The sequence below is a fragment of the Homo sapiens genome, chromosome 7 (assembly GCF_000001405.40).
Source record: "Homo sapiens chromosome 7, GRCh38.p14 Primary Assembly".
In the NCBI taxonomy this organism is placed as follows: domain Eukaryota; kingdom Metazoa; phylum Chordata; class Mammalia; order Primates; family Hominidae; genus Homo; species Homo sapiens.
Genome location: NC_000007.14, coordinates 128430553 through 128440181, shown reverse-complemented (window position 1 = coordinate 128440181; position 9629 = coordinate 128430553). Strand labels below are relative to the sequence as shown.

General features: G+C 44.3%; 1 pseudogene; it reads left to right on the top strand.

Moving 5' to 3' along the window:
- Positions 6433 to 6812, top strand: RPL37P16 (ribosomal protein L37 pseudogene 16; annotated as a pseudogene).

The window sequence follows — 9629 nt, the reverse complement described above, 5'->3', positions numbered from 1 at the left end:
ATTTTTAACAAAGCTAAAACACTGTTACACAGCTAAAATATCAACAGCAATTCCTAATACCATCAAACAATATTCAAGTTTCTAATTGTTTCATAAAAGGACACCATTTTAATATCTGCAAGTGGGTTGTGGTTCTAAGAGAAGGAATCATAGGTAAAAGTAAAGAATTCAGTTGAATTGCAACCTCTTTAAGAGCAAATAAATTCTCCTTTGTATTCATTTAGAATGTTTGTGCTTCTTTTTACTGTTTTAAACAAAGTTGCAATTAATATCTTTATACTTACATTTTTGTACGCTTGCCCAATTATTTCCTTAAGATTAATACCTATGAGTAAAAGCCAGAAGGCATGCCTTTGTTTTTTTATTTTGTTTTATTTTTGAGACAGGATCTTGCTCTGTCACCCAGGCTGGAGTGCAGTGGCGCCATCACGACTTGTTGCAGTCTCGACCTCCTGGGCTCAAGCGATCTTCCCATCTTAGCCTCCCAAATGGCTGGTACCATAGGCACACACCACCACTCCTGATACTTTTGTTCTTTTATTTTTGTTTTTTGTAGAGACAGGGGTCTCACCATGTTGCCCAGGCTGGTCTCAAACTCATGGGCTCAAGCCATCTTCTTGCCTCGGCCTCCCAAAGTGTTGAGATTACAGGTGTGAGCCTCTACACGCAGCCAGCACACCTTTTTAGGCTCTTGTTCCATACTATGAAATAGCCTTCCTAGGCACACTGTGTGAAAATGCCCATTTTCCTATGTTCCATGCACGCACAATCCTAATAGTATTCTCTATATTTGCAAATGAGGATATGGAGTCGGGGGCACTGGATTAGGGTGGGCCCTAATCCCATGTGACTGGTGTCCTTATAAGAAGAGGAAAATTTGAACACAGACAGACAGAGGGAAGATGGCCATGTGATGCCAGAGGCAGAGAGATTAGAGTTAGGGTGCCATGAGCCAAGGAATGTGTGGGGCCACCAGAAACTGGAAAAAACAAGGAAGGATCCTCCCCTAGTTGGCAGCGTGGCCCTGCCAATGCCCTAATTTCAAACTTCCAGGCTCCAGAACTGTGAGAGAATAAATTTATATTGTTATGAATCACCTAGTTTGTGATACTTTATTACCACTGCCCTAGAAAACTAATACAGATGGAGCGGAGTGGTTTGTAAAATAGGGAGGGGAAAGGATTTCGACATGAGTTGACACCATCTACACATTTGCTGGGGATATGTCAGACTAACTCCTTTTAGGACACCAGAAGGCTGTATTGGATCATGGGGAAGGGATGGGAAGAAGGCAGGCAGATAGTGCTATAGGACACTAGCTACCACAAGGGTGATAAGAGTGGGTGTCCTCTGTACTTCTAGGGGGTATAGGATATCTGGGAGCAGACCAGGGTGAGCTGGGAGCGGAGGTGCAAGGGACCAGAAGAAACAAGGCTTCAGAAGAGCAGCTCCCTCATCAGTATTACCCAGGGAGTAATTCTGGGTACAGGCCACACTCCTGGGTTCCCCTGAAGCACACATTTCTACTCTTCTCACACCAACAACTCTTTTTTGAGATGGGGTCTTGCTCTGTCACCTAGGCTGGAGTGCAGTAGTGTCATCATAGCTCACTGCAGCCTTGAACTCCACAACTCAAGGGATCCTCCCACCTCAGCCTCTTGAGTAGTTGGAACTACAAGCGTGCGCCACCACGCCCAGCTAACTTTTTTATTTTTTATTTTTGTAGAGACTGGGTCTCTCTATGTTGTCCAGGCAGGTCTCAAACCCCTGAGGTCAAGTGGTCCTCCTACCTTGGCCTCCCAAAGTGGTGGGACTTCAGCCGTGAGCCATGCAATGGGCCTATACTTTTTAGATTCCGTACAAAGGAAGAGTATTCTGGACATTTCATATAAATGAATAATTTAATATATGACCTTTTGTGTCTGGTTTTGTTAATGGATGGTACTGTATAGTTCCAGGCTCTTGGTGTCCCAAACAAAGAACTGGACGTGACACAGATAGCATAGCAAAGCAGCAAAAATTTGTTATGCATAGTAACACTCCCAGAGAGGAGAGAGCGGGCTGACCCGCAAGTGGTATCAGTCCCAGTTTGTTACATTTCATGGCCTTTTATATGTTTTTTTTTTCCACTTGCTCAACCTTACTGTATCTCTTTTGACCAAATTGTTTATCTTTACTTTTATTTTTTGTGACCAAATTGCTACTGCAAGTCCTTCTTATTTTTCTTATCTTGCATGTTTCAACTCACTGCTTACTCCCTTATGTACATACTGCTTACTTCCTTATTTTATATATTCTACTTCTGCTATTTTGCATGTTTTGCTTTTGCTACTGCTTAAGCTAACTTACGTCCAAGGATCCGCTTCGCCCCCAGCTTGCTCTGCTATTCTCCTGCCTTAGTTTCTTCCAACTTGCACAGCGTTCTCAAGTTTCATCTATGTTGTAGCTTGTATCAGAATTTCATTCATGTTCAAGTAATATTCTGTTGTATGGATATACCACATTTTGTTTACCCATTCATCAACTGATGGACATTTGGGTAGTTTCCACCCTAGCTATTATGAATAAGGCTGATATGAACATTTGTGTACATGTTTTTGTGTAGATATATGTTTTCAGTTCTCTTGGATCTACAACTAGGAGTAGAACTGCTGGGTTATGTGGTATCTCTGTGTTTAATATTTTGAGGAATTGCCAAACTGTTTTCCAGAGTGGCTGCATCATTCTGTAATTCTACCAGCAATATATAAAGGTTCCAGTTTCCCCACATCCTGTCAACACTTGTTATTGTCTTTACTTTTTTAAATTTTAGCCAGCCTGGTGGTTGTTAAGTAGTATCTCATTGTGGATTTCATTTGTATTTCCCTAATGACTAATGATGTTGAACATCTTTTTATCTGCATATTGGCTATTTGTAAGCCTCCTTTGGAGAAATGTTTATTCAAATTCTTCACCCAGTTGTAGCCGGGCATGGTCGCAGGCACCTGTAATCCCAGCTACTTGGGAGGCTGAGGCAGGAGAATTGCTTGAACCCGGGAGACAGAAGCTGCAGTGAGCCGAGATCACCCCACTGCACTCCAGCCTGGGTGATGAGCAAGACTCTGTCTTAAAAAAAAAAAAAAAAAGTGGCTGGGCACGATGGCTCACGCCTGTAATCCCAGCACTTTGGGAGGCTGAGGTGAGTGGATCGCCAGAGGTCAGGAGTTCGAGACCACCCTGGCCAACATAGTGAAACCCCGTCTCTACTAAATATACAAAAAATTTAGCTGGGCGTGGTGGTGGGCGCCTGTAATCCCAGCTACAAGGGAGGCTGAGGCAGGAGAACTGCTTGAACCTGGGAGGCGGAGGTTGCAGTGAGCCGAGATTGTGCCATTGCACTCCATCCTGGGCAACAAGAGCGAAACTCCATCTCAAAAAAAAAAAAAAAAAATCCTGTGCCTATTTTCAAATCAGGTTATATGACTTTTTATTTTTGAGTTGTAGAAGTTCTTTATATAAAGAACTTCTGGATACAAGTCTCTTATCAGATACATGATTTGCAAATACTTCTCCCATTCCATAGGTCCTCTTTCTTTTAAATGTTATCTTGATTAAGTATAAAATTCTAGTTTGCTAGTTATTTACTTTTTTTTTTTTTTGAGACAGGGTTTTTGCTCTGTTAACCAGGCTGAATTGTAGTTATGTGATCTCAGCTCACTGCAACCTCTGCCTCCCAGGCTCAAGCAATCCTCCCACCTCAGCCTGCCAGGTAGCTGGGACTACAGGCATGCTCCACCATGCCTGGCTAATTTTTTTTTTTTTTTTTGGTAGACAAGGGGTTTCACCATGTTGCCTAGGCTGGTCTCAAACTCCTGGGCTCAAACAAGCTGCCTGCTTCAGCCTCCCAAAGTGCTGGGATTACAGGTGTGAGCTCCCATGCCCGACTTGTTATTTACTGTTATACATTTAAAAATATTCCTTTGTCATCTAGCTTCCTTGATGATAGAAGGTGAGGGTTTTATGTCATTCATTGCTTCTGGACAATTCCAGCCACTATCTCTTAGAATATTGCCTCTCTCTATTCTGTTTTCTTCTTACAGTACTTCAATTGGATGCATGTTCATCTTACTCAGTCTGGTCTTCATGTCTCTTAATATTTCCTTCATATTTTCCAAGTTTTTGGCCCTCTCTGCTTCATTCTATATAACTTTTTATATCTTGTAGGGGAGGGGGTTTGGCCTATTTTTGTTTCTGTATTTTTTTTAATTCACTAATTCTGTCTTCTGTCCTATCTAATCTGTTGTTTAACTTGCCCATTGAGTTTTTAATTTTGATTATCGTGGCTTTCAGTTTTAGATGTTCTATTGATTTATTTTTTTCAAATCTCATCTGTTTTGATAGCATATGGCTCCTTTGTCATGTTTTCAGTTTATTTTTATTTTTCTGTAAACATTTTTTAAATTCTTATTTTTTACTTCATACCTAATAATTCTGTTATAGGAAAATGGAAAGGATATTATGCAGCTGTTTCTTGGGTATGCTGGCATTTGCTCATGTAGGCTTGTTTCTGTGTGATTTATTTTTTGCATTTGAGCTTTACTTGTCCAAACTTTTTGTGTGGGAATCATACATAGCCTGGGTTAACTGCAGCTCCTCCAGAGAAGCTTTGCGCAAAGCTTCTTCAAGGAACTAACAATCCACCGCTAATGTTTGTTCATGTTTGATCTTGTGTTTGCCCATACCAGGCACAGTATGCATTCTGTTTGCAAATACGCCTGAAGCCCAGGATTGCAAATTCTCAGTGGAAATGTTTTTTCAGGTCCAGAATTATGGCTGAAGCAGATACATTTTCCCTTTCTCCCCCTTTTGTTGATGGGCCCCAGCTTTATGCCAGGCTTTGGTTATTAACATTACTGAACAGCCCCCTCCCCGTCCCCGCCCACCCAAATCCAGCCACAGCTTCAGGGTTCTCATTTCTTTGCTTTGTTTGTTTGTTTGTTGTCCCTGTAGCTTTCCCTTCCTCCTCCACCCTCAAGCTCTGCTATGCATTTAAAGGAATGTTTGTCATGCTTTAGGTGGGAATACTGTCTGATTATCTAGTTCCTATACTGCCTGAAATTGAATCCAGGGGGAAATAGTACAGATACAAACGCAGATAATTTCTAGTGTTCTCAGCCCCACTGGAGCCCATTATGGATCCATGTGCTCCAGAAGATGAGTTAATCAGACAAGATCAGGCATTCAGGGTGGTATGGCTGTAGACAGAAGATGAGTTAATCAGATAATGGAATTCCTATGCTATTAGATAATTGATGTATGACCTCTCTGGGTAAATTAGAACCTTGACCCAATCAGAATGCACTAGTTGTATTTTTTAATTTTAATTTTTTTATTTTTTTATTTATAGAGACAGGGTCTCAGTGTTACCCAGTCTGGTCTTGAACTTCCAAGTTCAAGTGATCCTCTTGCCTTGGCCTCCCAAAGTGTTGGGATTAAATGTGTGAGTCACCACACCCAGCTTTATTTATTTATTTTATGTATTTACTTACTTACTTTTAGAGACAGGGTATCTCTCTGTTGCCCAGGCTGGAGTGCAGTGGTGCAATCATAGCTTGCACCTTCAACCTCCTGGGCTCAAGTGATCCTCCTGAGTCAGCACCCTGCCCCACTCCCAGTAGCTGGAACTACAGGTACGTACCACTGTGCCCAGCTAATTAAATTTTTTTGTTTGTAGAGACAGGGTCTTGCTTGGTTGCACAGGCTGGTCTCAAACTCCTAGCCTCAAGTGTTCCTTCCACCTCAGCCTCCCAAAGCACTGGGATTACAGGTGTGAACCGCTACAGCAGCCTAGATAGAATGCATTATTTTTAAGAGGGATTATATGGGTTGGCTGTGTCCCCACCCAAATCTCATCTTGAATTGTAGTTCCCATAATCCCCATGTGTCCTCAGAGGGACCTGGTGGGAGGTAATTGAATCATGGGGCAGTTACCCCCATGCTGCTGTTCTCAAAATAGTGAGTGAGTTCTCATGAGAACTGATGGTTTTCTTAGGGGCTTCTCCCACACTTCTTGCTGCCACCAGGTGAAGAAGGATGTGTTTGCTTCCCCTTCCACCATGATTGTAAGTTTCCTGAGGCCTCCACAGCCATGAGGAACTGTGAGTCAATTAAACCTCTTTATAAATTACCCAGTCTCCAGCTGTTCTTTATAGTGGTGTGAGAACAGATTAATACAAGGGGTTTGAAGATGGGTAATCAGTGCTAAATCTTGCAGGTGGCCAGGAGGAGGGATGTTAGCCACAAAGGTTTGTTTTTCTGAGACCCTTCAATCAGTTACCCTCATGCTTAATTTTCCTACATGGAGCTTTAGGGGAAGCCATGAGGAACATGGTGTCTGACGCATAGTAAGTGTTCAATAAATATTTGCTGACCAGATGTAGTGGAAGTGCCTTATCTTCCAGTCTGTTTGGTCTCAGCTGCAGAAGTGAGATGATGAAGGGAATCTCATCGTTTGGAAAGCATCACAGTAAGACACACACATTGTGCCACCACTGTGGCTCTAAGGCCCACCACCTCCAGAAGACGACCTGTGGCAAATGTGGCTACCCTGCCAAACACAAGAGGAAATATAACTGGGTGCCAAGGCTAAATGGCGAAATACCACCAGAACTTGTTGAATGAGACACCTAAAAATTGTTTGCCACAGACTGAGGCACAGATTCCGAAAAGGAACACACCTAAACCCAAGAGGGTAGCCGTTGCAGCATCCAGTTCATCTTAAGAATTTCAGTGACTAGTCATGTGACAAATGTTCTAGTTTTAAAAAATAAATAAATAAATATTTGCTGACCGAAAGTTGAATGCATAACTGAGTCATTGTGTCACAAAACGACTCCCTAATTTTCTGCAGTAAGCTTCCCTCTCTGTTGATGTGACAATCCCCAACCCAGAGTTGGAGAATAAATTTGTAAAAACATTAATATTACGCCTGTAATTCCAGCACTTTGGGAGGCCGAGGTGGGCAGATTGCTTGAGCCTAGGAGTTTGAGACCAGCCTGGGCAACATGGCAAAGGCGAAACCCTGTCTCTACAAAAAAAAATACAAAAATTAGCCAGGCATGGTGGTGTGCGCCTATAGTGCCAGCTACTCAGGAGGCTGAGGTGGGAAAATCACCTGACTCCAGGAAGTCCAGGCTGCAGTGAGCCATGATTGCGCCACTGTCCTTCAGCCTGGGTGACAGGAGTGAGACCCTGAGACACACACACACACACACACACACACACACACACCAAAAGCCAAAACAAAACATTGATACAAATGAGAGTGCGTGAATACATTGGGGTGATGTGTGACAGCCATTTCAGATTAATTGAAGAAAGCTTCCTGTGCAAAGTGGACTTGGAGTTGAATGGTGAAGGATGGGCTGCCCCAACACTTACATATGAATTGGGAACAGTAATATCTATGGGGTACTTACTATGCCCCAGCACTATACTAAGTTCTCTCCATCTATCAGAGCATTTAATCCTCCCAACAACCCTTAGAGGTGGGGACTATTATGATCCTATTTTGCAGATGAGGGATCGAGACACACAGAATTTAAGTAACTTGCTAATAAGTGATGGAGCTGGAATTCAAACCCAGGCAGTGTAGCCGCGTGTTTGTGTGCCCAGCTATCATGCCATATGGTTCTGCTTGGGCCTGTGTTCCTATACACAGAGCTACATTTTGTTCTACGGAGCACCATGTCATGGGAAGCCTCTGAGCCTTGCTTGTACTGTTCTCAAAACTTGAAATGACCCTTTCTTTGTCTGTTGAGCTCTTATTCATCTTTTCTGCCTCCACTGAGATTTTTGGTGCCTCCAGAATTTGACTGTAGTTTGGGCAAGGGCAACAAAGACAAAGAGGAAGGAAAGAATCTATAGTCTATGATTAGAAAAGATCAATAGACTCTGATTTTTATTATATAAAGGGAACAAAGAGACATCCAGGTTGGCTCCTGGCCTGTGGCTCCAGGGGACCAAGATGCAACCTCCTGTGTGTGGACAGAGATGGGGATTGATTGAGGCATGTTTAGGAGTTTTAGGAAATGCTATTTGCATCCTAGTTCCCAGCTTGTCTCTAATTAGGACTGTTTTATCCAGAAAAGAAACAGAAATGGTGGCAGGAAGCACGCTGTAGTCTATTCAATATAGTGTGGGCAGCAATACAAAACCTGCCTACCCAAACATACCTTCCACTTTGTGTGAAATCTCCACCCATCAGGATTAAGTGTTATCCTGAAAGGCACATTTTAAAGCCGTGTACTGAGCTCCTGTTCTGTGCCAGGCACCATCTAAGAATGTACCATGTTTTGTCTCATTTAATTTTCATAGTAATCCTAAAAAAAGTGCCATCATAATTGTTAGCCATTTTACAAATGAGGAAACTGGCCTCTGAGAAAAAGAACTCACCTAGAATAACAGAGCCCCCAAAAATGGCAGAATCAGGACAAGTCCAAGTTAGGATGCTAGAATCTGTGCTTTTAACTATTTCTCACACTCCCTCTCATTGTTACGCCTCCTGTGTGTGTTTATACCCTTGCCCCCTGCCTCTTGAGAGTGGAAGGGAGCCCTCATGGGGAAAAGTCTTTCCTCTTAGCAGTAAGTAATTGCTTTACTAGCAAAGCCCGGAGCCAGGGAAGTAATGCAAATGCTGGGATAACACTGTTTGTCCCAGGAGGAGGGGGAGATCTCAGCAGGTGCCCTGACCTGCAGGGGTTGAGCAGCAGTTCAGGGCAGCCTCCAGGGTAGCCAGACCTCCCAGCTCGGGGAGGAAGTGAGCGGGCCAGTTCTACCACTGGCCAGAGCAGTGCTCTCCCCATGGGGCTGACTCAGCCGGAAACCGCCCTGGGCCACCCACAACGGGAAGGAGGGATCTGTCCTCACCTTTACCCTGCAACTGAGACATTGAGGCAGGGAGAGGCTGGGTGGACATAGGAACCAGAATCCCTGCTTGTGGGGCGGGGGCGTGAGCTGGGGCGGGTGGGCTCCTTTGCCAGGGATTGTGATTTGGGGCTATCAAGTATGCCCCGTCCCATAGCCAGGAACAGTCTCCCGGTCATCTCAGAAGCCACCCTCAGGTCCTAGCTGGAGGGTCTGTGGGTGCCTCTGCGGTCTCGTAGATTGTTCTCCAAGTGGAGGGGCCTCCAAAAGGGATGGTCCCAGAACTCAGGGAGGCAACCACTCCCGCCTCCTGAAGGTGACCACATCATGACCTGTGCCTTCTGTTGGTGCGGCCCAGGGCTCCCTGAGGAGGAATGCCAGGTACCCCTGACACTAGACAGAATTGTAAACTCCTTTAGGATGGTAGAGCCCAGTCCAGTTCCCCCAGGGCCCGAGAGGAGTCTTTGTGTGACAGCCTGACTGCCATATGCAGGTGCCTTCCTGCACCCTTTAGGGACCTATAGGTGCAACAGGGAAATAGGTGAAAGGTCCCTCTCCAGGTAGGTCTCCACCCTCACCCATGAGGTCAGCAACCTGGGCTAGGTGGGTGGGCTGAAGTGACTGAGTCTTTCCCAAAAGCTGGGAAAGGAATAGGTCTTGCTCTGGTCACAAGCAGGTCAAGGACTGGTGAGCTGAAAGGCTTCTTGGAAGCAGTGTCTCTTTGG